This window comes from Homo sapiens, chromosome 7 (assembly GCF_000001405.40).
Source record: "Homo sapiens chromosome 7, GRCh38.p14 Primary Assembly".
Lineage (NCBI taxonomy): Eukaryota > Metazoa > Chordata > Mammalia > Primates > Hominidae > Homo > Homo sapiens.
In genome coordinates this window covers 152,799,938-152,821,286 of record NC_000007.14, presented here as the reverse complement: position 1 = coordinate 152,821,286, position 21,349 = coordinate 152,799,938, and the positions used below count along the sequence as shown (strand labels likewise).

Below are 21,349 nucleotides of genomic sequence, written 5' to 3'. Positions count from 1 at the left end.
GTCAAATATTCTTCCATGGAGGAAAGGCAAAGAAAGGAGAAGGTGACCCCTTAGGAAATATTTTAGTCTAAAAAAGAATATCTAATGATACCTCAGGAAACCTTCCCCTGAGATGGAAGGGACCACGTCTTCCCCACATCACCATTTCAGCGCTGAGAGCCCCCTTCCCAGGAATCTCTGGTCCCAGGTAAAGCAGGGCAGGTCATACCCAACTGCAGAGCCTGCCTCATGCCAGTGCCTCCTGACCTAAAAACACCTCGGGAATCATCTCTGGTGCTTCCTTTCCTTCAGCCAGCCTCAGTTACGAGGTGCTGAGAAGGGAGGAAGGCAGTGAGGAGAAGTGTGGGTGTTGGGCTCACCCCCATCAAGCTCTGCTACACTCAGAAACTGTGCCATAAAGGAAGAAGATGCTTATGGCCACACGTCACAGCCACACCTGTGTGTGAATTTTGTGCAATAGCTCTGGATCCTAGGGTGGCAGTGTTCTGCTGCTGTGGTCGCCTCCTGATTCTACAGCGAAGCATGGAGGCAGTATGGAAGGAGCCCTCTGGTAGATGAGGCTCCAGCAGTGAGGCTCCAGCTGAACAATGCTGCCTCTGCACGCTGGTACGCTGCACCAGCTACCAAGCTGTTCTCAGTGACAGCTGAAACCTCAAAGCATCTAGTTTGGAAGAGGTTAAGCTTTACATCTTCAGCCCACTTAAGGGGTAAAACAAATCAAGCCCCACATTCATGGGAAGGGGAGAGGAAGGAAAGGAGGAGCAGGGATGATGGCACCAAGGGGAAGTGTCCAGAACACCATCTCTCTCACCCCCAAACCGGCCGGTTTCCCATCTGTTTTTACCTTAATGGCTTTTGCGGTCTCCAGTGACTGCTCAGGAGGGATTCCCACCTCCCTCTCCCTTAGCAGCTGTTGAATGAAATACGTAATATCTCTACCTGCAATCGGGATGTGTTTGATGCAGCTTCCAATTACATAACCTTCTGCCTAGGGAAGAAGAGGAGGCAGAACAGCTGTGTTAGTGATTTCGTGGTGGAGAGCAGCCTGGACTCACAAGGTTTCCTGCCTCAGCCTCCCTGTCTGCCCCTCATGGCACTGACAAGCATTTACATAATCCCCACCCTCTGCAAGCTCAGTACAGAAGGTCTTTCAAAATGACTGCATATGCAATTCCATTAATATTCAAAATTCCAGATTATTCCAATAACCTGACACTCTCTAAAAGCAACCAAAATGATTTCATTAGGAATATGAAAAGAAAAACCACATAAGATAGTTCATTTCCAAAAAGAAATGCTGTCTGTAAGAACACTAAACCCAATAGGTTCTTTCCCTGATAAAAAGGAAAAAGTTTTATTTATAAATTGTTAAGCCAACTATAAATCTACTTACGTTTAAAAGTCAGCAATTTGGTTAATACACAGGGCTTAGATTCTAACAACCTGGACTCAAATCCCAGCTCCACATTTGCAAGTTTCACATGCTTCAGCCTCAGCGCGTTTGTCCATCGTATGAGGCAAACAATACCCTGCTGGGGCCAATGATACAGTTCAGATGAAACTGCGTGTGTCGAGCACACAGCACTGGTTTTGGGGGCTGGGAGCCTCTCATTCCACTGCCTCCCTAAGCCAGTGAAGGCATGTCTGTGAGGGGCCAGGAAAGGAGGGTGACCACGCCCTGGGCCGATCAATGGCAGGGCCAGTGTCAAGTGTCCACATGCCCACAGCAATGATGGGCCCAAAGCTCCCTCATCAGCCTTCCTGTGGGCACAGACCTGCCACAGGAGCCACAGGCTTGGACACACATCCAGCTTGTTCTCCAGGGGATGAGCAGGATGCTGACCGTCAGAGTGGACAACGCCCACCGCTGGATCATCCGGTAAAGACACTCAGGTTTCACGTTACAGCACATCACAGCTTCTGTGCCACAGTCCCCAAGTGAGACAGAAGGGAACAGAAGTGAAACGCTGACTTCATTTTACAGATGTATTCATTCTAATAGCTGCACCTAGTCACCAGTAAAGTTGCAAGAACAACTTACTGAATTCCTCCTATGGTTTCTTTCTGATATACGTAACTTCTAGAAGCAAAAAAAGTAGCCTTTCTGCAGAGTCCAAGTATTTGTAAGGTATTTTAAGATGGAGATAAAAGTATAAATTACTAAAACTCAACTTAAACCCATAAAAATAATATTAGCTTTCTAATACATAAACTATTCACAATTATTATATTCTATGCATTACACGTAACATTTTCTAAAATACTGTTAAATAAATATCAGCTCATGACAGTGGTAAAAATATTAAAACAAGATACATGTCCAACAACAGAAAAATAAATTATGTACTTCTTAAATGTATTTTCACAGAATATTTAACCACAAGAGAAAAAAACTAGGGTTAAATTAATACGCAAAATATAACCTTAGGATTGTATTATATGTAGAATCCCAAACCAGACATGAGACATTCCAATTGTGTTTAAAGTGTGTGTGTGTGCACGCATGCGTGAGCACACGTGTCTTAGAAAAAGAGCTTAGGCCGGGCATAGTGGCTCACGCCTGTAATCCCAGCACCTTGGGAGGCCAAGACAGGCGGATCACCTGAGGTCGGCAGTTTGAGACCAGCCTGACCAATATGGAGAAACCCCATCTCTACTAAAAATACAAATTAGTCAGGCATGGTGGCGCATGCCTGTAATCCCAGCTACTCAGGAGGCCGAGGCAGGAGAATCGCTTGAACCTGGGAGGCAGAGGTTGCAGTGTGCCGAGATCGTGCCATTGCACTCCAGCCTGGACAACAAGAGTGAAACTCCATCTCCAAAAAAAAAAGAAAAAGAGCTTAAAGACTATACAGCTAAAAGTATTAATACAGGTCTTTGGGTGGCTTTAAAGGTAATTTTATTTCTTCAAATTTGTCTATTTTATCCAAATTTTCAATGACTAATGTAATTTTTACAGCTGGAGGAAAAACTGAACTAAGATACGATTAAAAATCTTTTCAAACAACTTTCTTAGTGGGCCTGGACACACTGTGAAATGTATTTTCTTTCCTTTTCCTAAATCAGACATAAGAAATAGGCAAAGAACCAAAGGGGGTGCAGGCCAGGGGCCTACGGGGGCCTCATCTTGGATCTCAGCAGCACAGCTCTCTGAGGAAACGGAAGCCTGAGTTCTCCGTGAGTGCTCTGCACCCAGGGCACTAACTCTTCTCAAGATCCACAGAAAGGAGTGCTGAGACTGGCTTGAAGGGGGCTCAAGTCTAGAGCACACTTCACAGGGCAGGGCAGCCACCTCTCCTCCCCACAGGAAGGACACGTAGCCAGGAGTACAAGGTATGGGGGCGGGAGGCTGGCTTTTTTCTCCCTGACTGTAGGCCCATCGACCATTAAGCCTTTCCTCTGCAGTGATACCTAACCTTCAAGGAATTAAAGGCATTGGTATTAGTACGTCACCCCATCACCTTCTCAAAATGAAATGGTGACCATTTTTTCAATTAAATTAAATGATTTTTGAAAATCCTAATTTGCATTTTAAAAGAGCTGTGTGTATGTAAATATATACACATACACACCCCCCCATATACATATGCAGAAACATTATCTGTAACATAACAGAAGTAACTAGCAATGGTGGTTCCTGAGGAGGAGACCTCAAAGGAGAAAGACCAGGATGAGTATGACTTCCCTCTGAATACCCTCTTCAGACACTTCCGATACATTTTCCAAAAAAAATGAATTTAAGATAATTCCTTTAAATAGTCCATTGGACCAAAAGAAAAATTCAGAGATCTCTTGAAACCCAAATTAGGAATCACTTCTCTGAAACCAAAAAGCGGCATTGCAGAGCCTTCTGCAAGCCAAAATGTACAATCTCCCCTTCTTGGCTTTTAAATTTTTTTTTTTTTTGAGACGGAGTTTCGCTCTTGTTGCCCAGCTGGGGTGCAATGGTGCGATCTCGGCTCACTGCAACCTCCGTCTCCCGGGTTCAAGCGATTCTCCTGCCTCAGCCTCCCAGGTAGCTGGGACAGGCATGCGCCACCACACCTGGCTAATTTTGCATTTGTAGTAGAGACAGGGTTTCTCCATGTTGGTCAGGCAGGTCTCAAATTCCCGACCTCAGGTGATCCGCCCGCCTTGGCCTCCCAAAGTGCTGGGATTACAGGCGTGAGCCACCGCGCCCAGCCCTTAAATAAATTTTTAAAACAAAAAGCAATTTTTCCAAGCTTGAGCTGGTTGCCATTCACATCTTTTCAGAGAACACAGATGTGCTCCTTCAAATGGCCACGCACTGCACCTACAAATTCAACATCCAAAACGGTGTCTATCTCCCAACATGTCGGAATAACCCCAGAAAATGTTCTTGTTGATGTTACACCCACGGGGATCAAGCAGAGGCTCTGAAGATCCAGAGACATCCTGGACATTCTCTGACATTCTGACTGTAAAAATATGCCACCATGAATTGAAAATTGCCAAAGCCACAATAATTGGCCATCCTTTTCATTCTTTCCCACATACTTGGGGAATTCCTTTATATAAGGTGGCAAAAAATAAAAAACTTTTATTATCTTTCTAAGTACAACTATCATCTAAATTGTATTTCCATTACAGAAGAGGTTTTTTTTTTTTTTATTTCCATCCTTACCTCGAATCAGGTGTTAAGCCTACAGAGACTTATATATTAACTATTCTGCTTACCACTGGGATAACATGGGTGACTCCATCTCCGCTGTCAATGACTATCCCCGTTAACGTACGTTCACCCACTTGTCGAGATGTCCAAGATGCCGCCAAGGCCAGCACTGCCTGGAGAAAAGACATGAAAACCGCTCGCACATAGGAACTCTTTCTAAAGCCACCTGCCTGCTCCTTCCAGGTCCAATCAACAAACTCTCTTACTTAATATGTCTGAGTAACTCTTTCCTTTTCCTATCCATCCTCTAACCCCTGTCCCTCAAATTCCAATTCAAACTTGGACAACTAACACGAAAATGTTGAGTACTTACAACTATAGGAGTCAAGTTTTCAATAAAGAAACGTGGCTGACTGTGGTGACTCATGCCTGTAATCCCAAAACTTTGGGAGGCTAAGGTAGGCAGATCACTTGAACCCAAGAGTTCGAGACCAGCCTGGGCAACATGGTGAAACCCCATCTCTACAAATAATACAAAAATTAGCCAGGCGTGGTGACACGCACGTGTACTCCCAGCTACTCGGGAGACTGAGGTGGGAGGATCCCTTCATCCCAGAAGGTCGCAGCTAGAGTGAGCCATAATTGCACCACTGCACTCCAGCCTGGACAACACAGTGAGACCTTGTCTCAAAAATAAAAAAAGGAAAGAAAAAAAAAAAACTAAAGTTTTACAAAGAAAAGCCAGTGAAAAAGATATTTCATTATAGAATCATAAGATTTTAATTTCTAATTCATTGGTTTCCGGCGTGGGGCCACAGATTGGCAATGAGGTCACTTGTGGAGTTGTTTAAAATACAGATTACTAGGCCTCACACCCAGAAATTCTAATCTGGAAGGTACAGGGTAATTTTTCAACCAAAGAAAATGTTGCCCCAAAGGGAACATCTGACAATATCTGGTACCATTTTCTTCGTCGGGGCGGGGAGGCTTGAGGTGGGGCTGCTGTCTTCCAGTGGGCAGAGGCCAGGGATGCTGCTACGCTCCCTGCAATGCACACGGCGGCGCCCACAACAAAGGACTACCCAGCCCAAAGCACTGAGGGTGGAAAACCCTGGTCGAAGACGAAGCCCAAAATCTGTGCTTCTAAAAAACATTCTCCAGGTAAACTTGCTGCACAGACCACTTCGAGAACCACCAGTCTTATGTCTCCTGAAGTGTTTCCCTAGGCCATGGAATATAAGTAACTTAGCCGGGGGAAGATCTGTAGTTAAATAAATTTGGAAGTGCTAGAATACATAGATTTCGACACAGGAATCCTCAGAGCCTGGACTGTGCTGATAGGCGCTGTGAATCAGCCCGAGAAAGCTGCAGGATGCAGCATCGCCCAAATTCATCTTTCTATGGAACTTTTCCTCCTCCTCCTCCTCCTCCTTAGAAGTGACTAGTATTATGCAGAAAACATTTGGGCAACACCCATCTCATTTATTCCCCAAAATTTCAGTCAATTCCCTTACATAAGGTGGCAGGCAAATAATGACCAAATGCAACCAAAAAATATCACACCAAGAACCGCAGCTTCAGAACAAGTTCTGCGAGCTCATGAAAACACAGGGTCCCTCAGAATCAAGTACACTGGGACTCATAAGAGCCCAAAATCGGAAAGGGGAAACCTCTAAAGGTAATTATTTTGTTTTTCTGATCAAAGTCAAAGATGCCAAAAGAAGAAGCACATCTACACCTATATCTTGTCACCCAGATAAAAATGCATTAGACTTTAATGCACGTAAAAAGAGCCAGACGACGTCTATACCAAAAAATGGCATCAAAATAAAAAGAAAAGTCATGGGACACGTTCCCTATAGTCCTGAATGGCATGGGGACGGGGGAGGGAGTGGAAAAAGGAAGGGCACACAGCGCAGTCTTCCAGCGGAGAACCTTGGGAAATACCATTTCTTCCGCTACTAGACAGCTCAGGTGCTTTAGGAATCACAAACGTAACTGGTTTTACCTGAACTGCAATGTAGAGTCCTGGTACGTTAAATGATTCAAACATAATTTCTGCAAGATACTCTCTGTTTTCTGGTGTATTGAGTGGAGGTTCTGTCTGTAAGAAAACATTCACTATATTTAGTGTTTACCCGAATTTCATGTAAATACATCAGAACCATAAACAGGTTAACCTGAAAGTATGTTAGCGAGGACATTATACAATTCCCTAATTTTACAGACAGAGGATGCCCAAAGTGTATTAAAGAAATCTGGCCATGGGCCTTAAAAGCTTTAAGACGTCAGAGTAAATACTTCTCTGAAGGCCTCTGTTCTTATTACCCACCCAAATTAGAACAAGTTACAGAAAAAGAAACTCTTATCTTCAATAACGTAACACCTAAACACCCCGAAACTGAATATCCCAGAAGCAAGTTGCCAAGGGCTATGAAAACACAACCAAGACGAGTGAGGACATCAAAGGCGAACCGGTGACTTCAGGTCTCAGCAAAGGAGAGCCAGAGGAGCAGCAGCAAGCCCTTGCTCAGGACAGGCCGGTGTGAGGAGCCACAGGGTGGCAGAGCAGGCAGGGTTAGGCCAAGCACCCTTACAGTCCAGCGGCAAGGGAAGAGTCCAGGGCAGATCACAGCTTCCCCCAGACGCTGCCCAGGACCTCCCCAGCCTACCCACACGCCATTAGTCCAGAAGAACTCTGCTCATTCAGAGACGAGTAAGGGGCACAAAGAAGCCAGCCAACAGTGATATAAAAACACTCAAAGAGAAAGAAAAGGGACAGAGAAAAGAGGAAAAACAAATGGCAGACAAAAACACATATCCAGGGGCAGGCGTGGTAGCTCACGCCCATCATCCTAGCACTTTAGGAGGCTGAGGAGGGAGGATCACTTGAGTCCAGGAGTTTGAGACCAGCCTGGGCAATATTGGGAGACCCCACCTCTATGAAAAAATTTAAAAGTCAGCCAAGTGTGGTGGCACATGCCTGTGATCCCAGCTACTCGGGGGCTGAGGTAGGACCACTTGAGCCTCGGAGGTGAAGGCTACATGAACCAAGATTGTGCCACTGCACTCCAACCTGGGTGACAGAGCAAGATCCTGTCTCCAAAAGACCGAAAAAAAAAATATCTGGAAAAATATTGAAACAAAGCAGATAAAAATTGCCAAGAATTTCCAAAGACATTTCCAAGAATCCAAGTATCTATTTTAAAACAATAACCGTCATCAAACAGGACAAAATGACAGACAACAGAAACAGAAAAAGAATAAATAAACTTGATTTTTCTCATTCAACAATATACTATGAACATTTTTCCTTGTCAACAAATATGGGTCTATATCTCGTATTTAAAACTGAAAAAATAAAAAGTCTCTGGACCTTTGGGCAAAACGTATACATTACCCTTTATTATGAATGAACTGTGCTCCCCCTACCTCCAGTTCATACATTAAAGCCCTAACTCCCAGTGTACTATAATTGGAAATAGGGCCTTTCAAGAGGTCATCACGGTTACCTGAGGTCATAGGGGTGGGGCCCTAATTTGACAGGACTGGAGGAAGGTCTTCTAAGAAAAGGAAGAGACACCAGAAATCAGTCTCTCTCTCCTATTCTCTCCCCACTCTACGCTCACACAGGGGAAAGGCATGTGAGGACCCAGCAGGAAAGGTGACCACATACAAGCCAGGAAGAGGGCTGCGCCAGGAGCCAACCCCGACGGCACCTCGACCTTGGACTTCTAACCTCCAGAACTGTGAGAAAACAACGAACTGTCTGCTGTTTACGCCACCCAACCTGTGGTATAAACAAAATTACAGCAGCCGAGTAGACTAATACACCCCTACGACAGGGAAAGTACAATCAGCCTCAGCCTTCAACACGGCTACATTTAACACTAGGACACATAGGGCCACACTTAGAGTCTTCAAGGGAAGAAGGTACGACCCAAGAATTCTATATCTGGCCACAGTGTCAATCAAGTATGTTACAAAATCAAAATATCTAATATTTGAGATGATGGATATGCTAATTACCCTGATCTGATAACCACACATTATATGTATCAAAACTTCACTCTGTACCCCATAAATATGCACATTATGTGTCAATTTAAAAAAAAACAATAAAATAAAATACTAAGGAGAAAAAATATATATCCTTAAACATACAAGAACTTGGAAAATTTCATTCCCATGAGCCAAAATGTATGGGTTCATGAACTATTAGAGGATAAACTTTATCCACTCAAGAAGAATGCAGAAAGTCCAGCAAAAGACTTACAGTGAGCAATGAAGCCATTTAAGATGTAGGAATAAAGACTTTTCTTTGGCCGGGCACGGTGGCTCATGCCTGTAATCCCAGCACTTTGGGAGGCCGAGGCGGGCGGATCACCTGAGGTCAGGAGTTTGAGACCAGCCTGACCAACATGGTGAAACCCCATCTCTACTAAAAATACAAAAATTAGCCAGGCATGGTGGTGTGCACCTGTAGTCCCAGCTACTTGGGTGGCTGAGGCAGGAGAATTGCTTGAACGTGGGAGGCGGAGGTTGCAGTGAGCTGAGATCGCACCACTGCATTCCAGCCTGGGCGATGGAGTAAGACTCCGTCTCAAAAAAAAAAAAAAAAAAAAAAAAAAAAAGACTTTTATTTTCTGGGAATTAAGAACAGAATGTAAATGTTATAAATTTTAATGGAAAAAAATGTTATCAAGTTGAGCAGTGCACAAGGAAAGAAGGAGAGAGTGTAAAGACACTTGCCTCTTACAGTGAAATCAAAAGATATTATTTAAAACTGATAAAGTATCAGAGGCATTAGTAAACATAAAGTTATAAATGTTAACACTGGAATAAGTTTAGTGACATCATTAATCAAAAGCAGGTGGTGGAGAGAAGGAAGGGGAGGCAAGAACATGTGGCAATACCAACCTGGTCACTGATTACAGCAGGAAGGAGATAGTTACCCCTAAACAAATACAGGGTAAATATATCAAATTATACTAAAATATGCAAACATGAGTCCTTTTAATTATTACCAAGAACACACACCCAATAAAAAGCAAAGAGAAAAACAAGTCTTCAGTTAAAAAATACTAATACATAAATAAAATACATTAAAAACATGAAGCATAACATTTTTAAAAAATAGTTAAATTAAGACCAAACGTATCTGTCACACAGTAGCATGCCATACCAGTCCGATTAAGAGATGTGAAGTCAAACTGACTGGGATCAAATCCCAGCCTTCCACTTTACTAGGCTTGGTAAGCTATTTCCTCTCTCCCTGAGTCTCCTCATGGGTAAAGTGCAGGTAATTAGTACCCCACTCAGAGAGTTGGAAAGATTAAAGGCAGTCTAAATAATGTGCTTAGAGCAGTACTGGATACACAGATGTGTTCAATGGAAGTGAGTTGCTATTACTAAAATTATCAGCAAATACAAATGGGAAATTCAACTACTAAAAGTCTCTCAGTTAAAAACAAAAACAAAATCAAATTACATTCTGAGGTTAAGAGACCCAACTAAAACAAAGTAGCTTGGAAAGGTAAAAAGTCAACATTGTCTGTATCAGAAGATCAGAAACAACCTAAATACCCATCACTAAACACTTTGGAACAATTTAAAAAAATGAACTCTATGAAGAAACAATCTCTATGATGAATTGTTAAGTGAAAAAGAGGTGTCTCCATTCCGTATACATTTTTAAATATCCTTCTGCTTCAACAATTTGTAATGAAAACTTTTTTTTTTTTTTTTTTGAGACAGCGTCTCACTCTGTCAACCAGGCTCAAGTGCAGTAGCCCAATCTCGGATCTCTGGGAGACTCCACCTCCCAGAATTCAAGCAATTCTCCTGCCTCTGCCTCCAGAGTAGCTGGGATTACAGGCACATGCCATCACGCTCAGTTAAGTTTTGTATTTTTAGTAGAGACAGGGTTTCACGATGTTGGCCAGGCTGGTCTCGAACTCCTGACCTCAAGTGATCCACCACTTCGGCCTCCCAAAGGCTGGGATTACAAGGCGTGAGCCACCATGCCAGGCCAAAAACTATTTTTAAAAAACAAGGTGTGGTAGCCGGGTGTGTGCCTGTAGTCCCAGCTACTCAGGAGGCTGAGGCAGGAGGATCACTCCAGCCCAGGAGGTCGAGGCTGTAGTGGCTGTATGACTGCACCTGTGAATAGTCACTGCACTCCAGCTTGGACAACATAGAGACCCCCTCTCAAAAAACAACAACAAAAAAAAAAAAAAAAAAAACAGGCTGGGTGCTGTGGCTCACACCTGTAATCCCAGCACTTTGGGAGGCAGGGGCAGGTGGATCACCTGAGGTCAGGAGTTCAAGACCAGCCTGGCCAACATGGGGAAACCCCATCTCTGCTAAAAATACAAAAATTAGCTGGGCGTGGTGGTGCACGCCTGTAATCCCAGCCAGTCGGGTGGCTGAGGCAGCAGAATTGCTTAAACCTGGGAGGCAGAGGTTACAGTGAGCTGAGGTGGTGCCACTGTACTCCAGCCTGGGCAACAAGAGTTAACTCCATCTCAAAAACAAAAAACAAGGTGGAGGGAGAGGGGAAATAATGGGGACTCGTTCAATGAGTACGGAGTTTCAGTTTTGCAAGATGGAAAAGTTCTAGAATCTCTTACACAACAGTGTGAATATAGTTAACATTACAAAATTGTACAGTTAAAAATGGCTAATAGGGTACAAATAGTATTAGGGTTTTTTTTACAATTTAAACCAAAAAAAAAAGTTTAATTCAAAAATCCAAGGTGTGCAACAGTATGCATATTGTGTTACCATTTGTGTAAAATAAAACTGTGTGCTAGCTGGGCGCAGTGGCTCACACCTATAATCCCAACACTTTAGGAGGCTGAGGTGGGCGGATCATGAGGTCAGGAGTTTGAGACCAGCCTGACCAACACAGTGAAACCCCGTCTCTACTAAATATACAAAAATTAGCCAGGCGTGGTGGCACATACCTGTAGTCCTAGCTACTCAGGAGGCTTGAGGCAGGGGAATTGCTTGAACCCGGGAGGCGGAGGTTGCGGTGAGCTGAGATCGTGCCACTGCACTCCAGCCTGGGCTACAGAGCAAGACTCCGTCTCAAAAAAAAACAAAAAAAAAAAAGAAAAAACAAAAACAAGTGTGTGCTAACCCATATGCCTACACACAATCACCCCTGGAACATGAACAATCAGCTGGCTAAGAACGGGTAAGGGCGGCTTCCTCTAGGCAGGAAAGAGGCGAGGGGGGCACGCTCCCTAGAAATCTTCCAGCACCTTTTCAGTTCTGCACTGTGTGTGCATCACTTCTTCAAACAACAAGCAAGCAAATCTACCTACCAACTAGCCTGGCACTTTAAACTCTGGCACAGCAGCTGGTGAAAAGTTCAAACACACTGCCCCAAGTAAGTTTTAGTCACTGTAATTAGAATCCATCAATTCCTGGATGGGAGAGAGGAAGCCATCTCAAAATGTGGAAGGGAGAATAATGAAGTCATACTCAAACACAGGCTGCAAATAGGGAACCTAAAAAGCACTCCACAACATGGTATTTATTTCAATGCGCCTACTCGGGCTGAGGAGATTAAATCTGCTAATAGCAGTGAAGTGCCCAGAACACAGTTAGAAGTATAAATGTTAGCGATTACTACTTTAGATTTCCTTCATTTAAAGCACATGAGTAAGAGATGCAGATTCCAATAGTAGTGTGTACAATCTCTCTCTTAAGCTACCTCCTGTCGATCTGAAAAGTGGGCCTAATAACATCACCTATCTCAGAGGGTTGTTGGTGGCATTAAAAAATGAGTTAATACTTGTAAACACTTAGAATGGGGCTGGGCACATAGAAGTACTCAATAAACAGCCATAATAGCCAATATTGTATCTCATCCCAGAAGAAATAACATATTAACTAAAGAAACCTATGTTTCTCATCTTGAATAGGAACCCAAGCATAATTATAACTGAAATAAACAAAATATTTAAACTGAGTAGAGGTGGGGAAGTATCAGGAGAGAAAGGTTAAGAAGGTATGAAGATTTCTGAGTAGAGCTGGGGAAGGTTTCTTGCCTCCCAGCAAAGAGCTGCCTATTTAACCTGAAGCAAAAACAGACCTGTAGGAAGACATCACCAACAAGAATCAGATTAACCCTGGCTCCCTGCATTCTCTCTGGGTCTAAGTTCAGTGTGAAATGATGATACAAATAAATCCCAGATGGATGAAGATTAAGTACAAACATCAAAGGAAAATGGGTTTTACCAACATACAAATTTAAAGTTATGGATGTCCAAATGAAATAACCAAAAGAGAAAGGCAAAAAATTAACTGAGTAAAACTAACCTGCTGCAAATATAACAACAAAAGAAGCTTTCTATCTTAATTATATGAAAGCTTCCAGAGAATAAGCAGAATGTGGTATCTATGTACAATGGAATATTATTCAGCCTTAAAAAGAAAGGAATCCTGGCACATGCTTCAACATGGATGAAGCTTGAAGACGCTAAGTGAAGTAAGCTGGTCACAAAAGGACAAATACTATATGATTCCATTTATATGAGGGCCCTAGAGTCATCAAATGTATAGAGACAGAAAGTAAAATGGGCATTCCAGGGGCAGGTAAAGGAGTAAAGAGAATTCGTGTTCAACGGGGACAGAGTTTTAGTTTGGGAAGATGAAAAGGCTTCTGGAGACAGACGGTGGCAATGGTTTGTGAATGTGCCTAATGCCACCAAGCTGCACATTCAAAAATGGTTCAAATGATAAATTCTGTTATGTGTATTTTAGAATAAAAAAAAGTTAAGTAAAAACAAAGTTCATAGAAATCACAGCAACAAGAAAAGCAATAAAACAACGATACGTAAAAGAGCACAGGGCATGAACAGACAGCTCGCAAAAGAGGAAATACAACTAACTAATGTGGAAAAATGTATAAGGTCAAAGTTATCAAAAATGCAAATGTAAAGCATATGGCAAATTTTAATCCATTAAATGATCAAAAATAATATTAATGCTGACAAGAGTACAAAGAAAGCAAGCCTCTTGCGCGGTGCTGACAGCAGTCTGAAATGGCACACTGTGCAGAGACTAATAAATTACTAACACTGCTGAACTCCATAATCAAACACTGCTAGTTCTTTTTAAGTAAAAAAGACTCGAAATACAGGAAAAACTGTATGCACAAAGATTACATTATTTCTTATAAAACCAAGAAAATGACTAAAAATAGTGGAACTGCTAAGCAGGAAATACCTACTAGACAGATTATCATATAGCTGTTAAAATAAGGGTTATGAAAACTGTAAGGAAATGAGGAGTATAATATTGGGTGTAAAATCATTTTAAAAATGGGTAAAAAGATTAAATGAAAATATACTAAATGTCAACAGTACCTATGTTAATGTGATAAGACTATAAAAAGTCCCATAGATATCTTCCAAATTTTCTATACTTACAATTCTACTGTAGTGAAGGGGGAAATGATCTCTATGTGAAGTGTTAAACTCCGAGTTATGGCTGTGGGGCAAGATCACACAAACTCCTCATCTAACTTCCCAATTTCCTAATGTATTTTATCCACAGACAGACTTACGGCAGCAAGATGGCAATGCCAAGCAGGAGATGCAGCACATCTTGCCACAGCTTCCTCCTGGCCAGAGGCTCCCTAACATGGGTGACACTCTCCACATAGGTAAAATCCAGCCAGAGTTGTGAAAGCAGCTGAATCTCTCCCTTGCTACTGTCTTCATGCCTTTGAGTGACACCACTATGACAGGCATTGTGAGTTGCTCTTACCAACACTGCAAGTTTGTGACTGACAGACCACTGATCTATGATGGGAAATGGCAACAGGCCCAGAAAAAAGCATTTCCCAGACTTCCTTGTGGACAGGGATGACTAAGTAAGTAAGTTCAGGCCAGTAAGACACAAAAGCTGGAGTATGGTTGCCAGGAAAGCTCCTTACAAAGCTGAGGTAGACTCAAGTAGTAGACTTGCCTCCTGCCCTTAACACCCTCCTCCTTCCTGGAACACAGAGGTGATAGCTGGAGGTGCAGTAATCAACTGGTGATCATGAGGCATCCTTAGAATGAAAGCCATATATTCAAGACACTAGAGTAGAGAGATTGTTAGCCACACCAGAGAGCTGCCATATCAGCACTGGACTCTACTGCAAATTTATTTAAGAAAAATAAAGCCTTAACTTTTTTAAACTACTGCTTTTATACTTCTATTACTTGCTGCCAAAAACACTTCACCGTCTTTGAAGAATTAAAATCTATGTATTTCCATTTAAGGGAACATTTACAATATAATGATGTTCTCCTGGTTCTTGAATCAAAATCGACGTTATTCAGGCCACATCCTTATGGGTTCTGAGGACCACAATCACAAACCCTCCATCTTCCTCAACCTCCCATTTCATCTCTATCCACCACTATTGATGTTATAATTATTCCTTTAGGAGACAAATGTATTATTCTCAAACTATTATTTATAACAAGATCTAAATTGGAGACGTCCAGTTTTTCTGGGTTTTTTTCTCTCTTTAAGACTAGTCAAGTGCAGCAGTGAGAAGAAGAGAAAGAGAATAATCTGGTTTTAAATATAGAAGCAGATGATCAAAGCATCAATGAATGCAAGCTACATAAACATTTTTATTCATAACAATGGTAAAATTATCACCTGGTATTGATTTAAAAATGAATAATGACTATCATAAAACCAACCCATATTTCTGGATAAAGACAGAAAATTGAACACATGTATCTAATATTACTCCACCTCCATGCCCCTCTAAAACTACAGTAAAGAAACATTTTTAAAAATACAAATCCTCAAGGAAGCGAGATAGGAGAGGAGGCGACAACATACTGGAAGCTGGAAAGTACGTGCAGGAGGTGACTTAGCAAATCCAAGAAAGCTGACCTCTACACTGGCTAGGTCTACACTGGCTAGGTCTACACTGGTTAGTGAAGTGCACAAGGCAGGTCTAACCATTCTCAAGAATTCAGGAAGGAAACTAGGACATAACGCAATTGTGATTCAGATGTAGGGCACTGCTATGGCTAGCATTTTTTTATTTCACCAGGTTCATGAGGAAAATGATTTCACAGAGCACTAACTTTACCTAGAGATTTCAAGATAATCATGTATTCGTAGGTTCATCTCTAAAATACCATGGATGGTACGTTTTATTTTTAGTAATCAGAGTTAATTTTCCATCAACTATCAACACGTGAATGCTACTGACTCCTACATCAACACCTGCTGCTTGGAGCTGGCTGCTCCTCGGCTTCTTTACCTGTGTAGCCCAGTCAGACGCTTCGACCTCAGCATGTACAAAACCAAACTCTCCTTCTTCCTCCTCCCTCCCTCCCTCAAGTGAGTTTCTTCTCATGTTTCCCATCTTAACCAATCACATTATCATCCATGCACTGCCCCATCTCAAAATCTGAGTCATCCTAGATTTCTCTCTTAACTGCTACCAATTCTCATCACTAAGACCCATCAATTCTACCTCCTGTATATCTCTGCTAACTATATGTAACTTACCCCAACCAACTGTACATGCTCCAAAAACACAACAGCATACAAAAGCTAGTGAGGGTACAAGCCAGAACAATGAGGCCAAATATGAGAGCAGGCGAAATAACTCCATGAGTGATACAATGTCTGCCCGGGCTCCTTAATGAGTACTGGCTCTGGAAGCCTGATTGCTCAATACAATGTCTGCCCGGGCTCCTTAATGAGTACTGGCTCTGGGAGTTTGATTGTTCTCAGGCGGTCTCAGCTTCAACATACTGGGACTGGGAGCAAAGTGCTGGACTGAGGGCAACCTAACAAACAATGCGTGCTTCCACACACCATACTGTACTCCTAAATGTAAGTCAACCACCCCAGCTGGTGCAGAAGAAAGTTCCTCCACGCTGAGGGAAAATCCATATTCTCCCACTGACTCAGAGCTGTATAAACTGGCCCTTCCTGAAGGATTTTCATGGGTGGTTTTGACTATACATATCTCCTTACATAATTTTAAGAACCTCGCAAATGACAGAACTCCCCTCCACCCACTCCTGCCATTCTCACCCTACGCCCTCCTCGGAGGCACCTGTCACCTCACATGGGGTCATCTTCAAGACTCTGTGTGCCAGAGGTGTCTGCCCACAAAGTCTCCCTAAAACACAAAACTGGCCACGTGGCTCTCACTGTCTACACTGCGCAAAGGCTGCCTGACCTCCTCTCTCCACACTCCCCCGCTCTCGTCACCCTAACCAAGTCAGGTCCTCAGAATCACCACGCCCTCTCATTGCTGGTCGTCTGCATGTGCTGCTTGTTTGCTCTTGCAGGATTTATATTCAAAAAGTTTGCAAATCCCTTCCGAAGTTCTAATTCAGTTTCCACTCAAGAGCACTGCATCTCTTTGACATCTCTGAGTGCGTTCTGAGCTCTGGGCAATGCAATATTGGGGAAGAGTGGAGTTCCCAGGTGCTCAGTCCACATAACCAGTGTAAGCTGAGTCTCTGCACCTCCTTGAAAACAGTCAGTGGCAAGGAGCTCATTCTCTCTGCATGTTCAGATGACTGGGCACGGCCATCAGAAAGGATAATTCTGTGAGCTCCTGTGGGGTCCATCATTTGGGCCTCTCAAGACTCTCTTTAAGTCTTCAATTCACTTTGATGGCTTGGTCTTAAATCTTTCCACCTGGTTCACTCCCCTTTAACTATTCCATTAACATACGGTTAAGGACAAATACCTGAAGGAAATTTACCATTCTCATCACTTCCTCAACCACAACATGCAACAGAATGACTTGCAGAATTCAAAGCACAACACATGTAATACGATATTTTCTTATCTTTTTAATAATAAACCTGATTGTTTTTGAACATTCATTGCAGGTGCCCATTTTTAGCAAATGGCCTTTTCCATGTTCACACCAAACCCCTCCAATTCCATCCTGGCAAGTGGTTACATTTTACTATCTCATGTATGCCAGCTAAATCAGAAGAGTCCCCTTTAATAAAAATTCCTGTGAGCTGTGTGGTGGTCCATATTTGCTCCACATGCCTAAGATTAGATGTCCCTCTAAGTAAAGCAAGAACTCCTGGCATGGGAAGCTGAAGTAGACAGAAGGAAGCAGCTGGGCTCGGTGCCTGCTCCTAAAATCCTATCCAACAGGTAGTTTATGTGATATGCTACAGAAGGAAAAATGCCAAATCTGACAGGTGGGAATCTGTGATTTGTTTTGGCTGTAAAGACAAAGCCACTCACACACAGTCAGTTTCTTGGCTCCATTTGCTCCACATAAACAACTGTGGGCCGGGTATGGTGGCTCATGCCTATAATCCCAACGCTTTGGGAGGCTAAAGTGGGAGGATCACTTAAGCCCAGGAGTTTGAGGCCAGCTTGGACAACATAGCAAGACCCCATCTCCACAAAAAAATTTTTAAAAATTAGCCAGGCTAGTGGCTTCTACCTGTGGTCCGAGCTACTCAGGTGGTTGAGGTGGGAGGATCAACTGAGCCCAGAGTCCGAGGCTGCAGTGAGCTAGGATTGTGCCACAGAACTCCAACCTGGACAACAGAGCAAGATCCCATTTCTAGAAAAATAAAATACAGAGCAAAACAGTAAAATAAAATAAACCACTATGGATGTACAGAGAAAACAGAGTGGCCTGTGAAATGCAGTAGCCATACTTGGCAATTTCAGCTGTGAAGACACAGCCAGGGAAAAAAGATCAAAGACTGGCTTTAATATACATTAAATACATATATTCGTTATAGAGTTATTCCATATTTAATAGTTATTCCATTAACTATTAGCCTTATAGTTAAAATATTTCTTATACCAGATAATTCTTAAAAACACTTCATATCCTAACATCAGAAAGAATTTTATAATTGGATCTGGGACCATTTGACAACGTACTTGCATGAAAAAAAATCCAAACCTAAATTATGCAGGTTTAATACGCAGCTTACGTCACATGAAACTGCCCTCTATAAAGCAAGCATTCTGTACATATAATTAATTTTAACTTGATGAAAAGAGCATCTCACGGAAGAAAACATGTAATGTTGAGTAGAACCACTAGAGAACGAGGAGATATTTCTTCTCATTTATCTGTGATGTTTCATTTCATTTGAATGAAATCAGTTAAGTATATAATTAGGGCCCATAACTCAGTTCAGTTTTATTTTACAGTAACATTTAAACCCTAGAAAAAAACAACATCTTGACCTGGTTTCCTCTGCTATAAGTGGCAATAATTACAATCATCTTGCTATGTCTCAAGAAAACTAAAGTAGGCAGTTGGTTTATCCAAATCCATTCCTCCTTCTATTGTCCTTGCTTTTGGAGGCCTGTTTAGCTACTTACCCTCCTCTAGGGTCCAGAACATCAGACAGGTTCTCCTGGTCCCCACTCCAAGGAGAAAGTCTTCAAGAATCTAAACCAGTCACAGTAAATCCATTCCTATTGCTCTAACCAGGTTAGGCATAGGCAGATGGGGCAAATGTGCTGGGAAGGTTTCTGGGAAAGGGTCTCTAAATTCTTAAAAAGTGCAAGGGAAATCTTCTATCTCTGTATGGAAATGTCCAAAGAGGTGATCTAGGAATTTGGCAGCCACCCTGGACCCAGGGGGAACAAACAGAAGAGCTCCAGCTAGTGCCCTAGGCTGCATGTGCAATTCCATCGCTGAGCTGCTAAAACAACAGCCCTAGAGCTGCCTCACTTGGGCTTCCTGTTTGGTGAGCTAACAAGCCCTTTTTGTTCTGAACATTTTTATTGAGCTTTATTTTCAAAAAAGCAGCCTGATTCATGCACATATCTTTAGAAGAAATTTAAAACGCCCTAGAAAAGAATATCTTCAGTTTAAAATCTAAGCAATTTGGAATTTACAGGAATATATTCCTCTTAGTTCCAGTTACTCACCATTAAAAAATAATGGTCCTCAGGTTCAGCTCGAAGATATTTAAAAACCACTTGCTCCATGAACCTTTCCATAAGATCCCAGTCTTCAATGATTCCATGTCGTATCGGCCACTGGAGGAAGAGACACCAGAGTTGTCAAGCCTCAGTTCGCAACAATAAGAGCAACAGTTTAACAGTGGCACAGAAGAAACTGTGTTATTAAGAATAAAGGTATCCTTCTTATTGCAGTTTTTGTTAATTCTTGTAAAGAAACAACAGCATTTGGAAAAAAAAGATTAAGTTACATTATTGTTCATATTCTCCTCCACTCATTTCCACAAACAAAGAATCACCTTAACAATGACACGGAGGCAGGCCAGGCACAGTGGCTCACGCCTCTAATCCAACGCTTTGGGAGGCCAAGGCAGGAGGCTCACCCGAGCCCAGGAGTTCAAAACCAGCCAGGGCAACATAGCAAGACACTGTCTCTACAAAAAATTAAAAAATCAGCCAGGCTTGGTGGTGCGTGCCTGTAGTCCCACCTACTTGGGAAGTTGAGGTGAGAGGATTGCTTGAGCTCAGGAGGTCGAGGCTGCAGTGAGCCAAGACGGCATCACAGCACTCCAGCCTGGATGACAGAGTAAGACCTATCTCTAAAAAAACAACAACAAAAAATACAATGAGGAACCGATAGAAAACTGCAGCTAATTATCATACAATTGGATCTGGAGCTTTAAAAAAAAAAAGTCTGCTTAAATAACGTTAGTGTTTCTTTTTAATTAACCAATCTGCAATTTTCCCTCATCTGACAGGTTAGTCAACCTGTCAACAATTTTCCAGAGGAGGGGATCTTGCTTTCATGTGTGACCTGGTGTTTCCTGAGTCTATTCTGCATTCCAGGGATCTGTTAATTCCCTTAATTCTCCAATCAAAAATACCCCCATTCAAAACCAACCATCACCACCACCTCTATTCAAACATAAGAATTCAAACATAACACATTCTACAACTCGCAAATACAACTTCTAGATGACCATTTTGCATTACTCATCCTACTACTCTACACTTAGAGAAGCAAACACCTGTCGGAAATTTACCTTTGTAGCATATGTAGGTTTATCGATGGCTTCATCTCCTATGAAAAAGTCAAGGTCATCAACTCCCCTCAACACTCTCCTTTGAGCTTGGTCAACTACCTTTGCTGACTCTCTGATGGCAATACCTTAAAAAAAACACACACACACAGATTTCTATCACTATCCATATCTATTTAAATGATCAAAAGGGATAATATCCTTATATACACACAAGTAAATTTTCATTGTTAGGGCTCCATGTGGGGTGAAGGGTGCTCACAGAAAAGACAATGTCAATGAGTACATAAAATAATACAGAAGCAGGCTATTCTATTCTGGTATGATTTTCAGAATGGGACAAAGGAAATGAGCTGCTCTACTTTTATACTGACAGAAGGTCCATTGCAAAATTTCTCAGTTTTATCTGGAAAAATCCCTCAAGATAGTAAGTGAAATGCCTATACATCAGTAGGTTCCAAATTTAAAATACAATATAGAAGGGGACAAAATTCTGTACAATACAGAAAAGGAGAGTAAACTGAAAAATAATGTCTATAATAAGACTCTACATCACATAGCCTTAAAATGTACTTTTAGTCTTGTTACAGGAAGAAAAAAAACCGTTAAAATTTATCCCATTAAAAGGATAAATTAGAATGTTATTGGTTAATATCTGTAGCCAAAAAAAGTACCATAATCAAATAACTATTACATAAAAATTCCAAATATTAATGGCTTT

At 42.1% G+C, this 21,349-nt stretch overlaps 1 protein-coding gene across 15 annotated transcripts in view; it reads right to left on the bottom strand.

Annotated features, from left to right (window-relative positions):
* ACTR3B (actin related protein 3B) overlaps window positions 1–21,349 on the bottom strand; it is a 95,627-nt gene that overhangs the window by 34,092 nt on the left and 40,186 nt on the right. For 6 of the 15 annotated variants that reach the window (NM_001350942.2, NM_020445.6, NM_001350944.2 and 3 more), the window contains 5 exons: window positions 20,632–20,756; window positions 19,556–19,666; window positions 6,642–6,737; window positions 4,699–4,806; window positions 845–988 (listed from right to left, as the gene is read on the bottom strand). In NM_001350942.2, coding sequence (NP_001337871.1) covers window positions 845–988; window positions 4,699–4,806; window positions 6,642–6,737; window positions 19,556–19,627 — 420 coding nt within the window. In that variant the 5' untranslated portion in view covers window positions 19,628–19,666; window positions 20,632–20,756. Of the gene's footprint in view, window positions 1–844; window positions 989–4,698; window positions 4,807–6,641; window positions 6,738–9,553; window positions 9,591–19,555; window positions 19,667–20,631; window positions 20,757–21,349 lie in introns of all 15 variants that reach the window. The other 9 variants (NR_146947.2, NR_146948.2, NR_146951.2 and 6 more) reach the window with 6 other exon arrangements.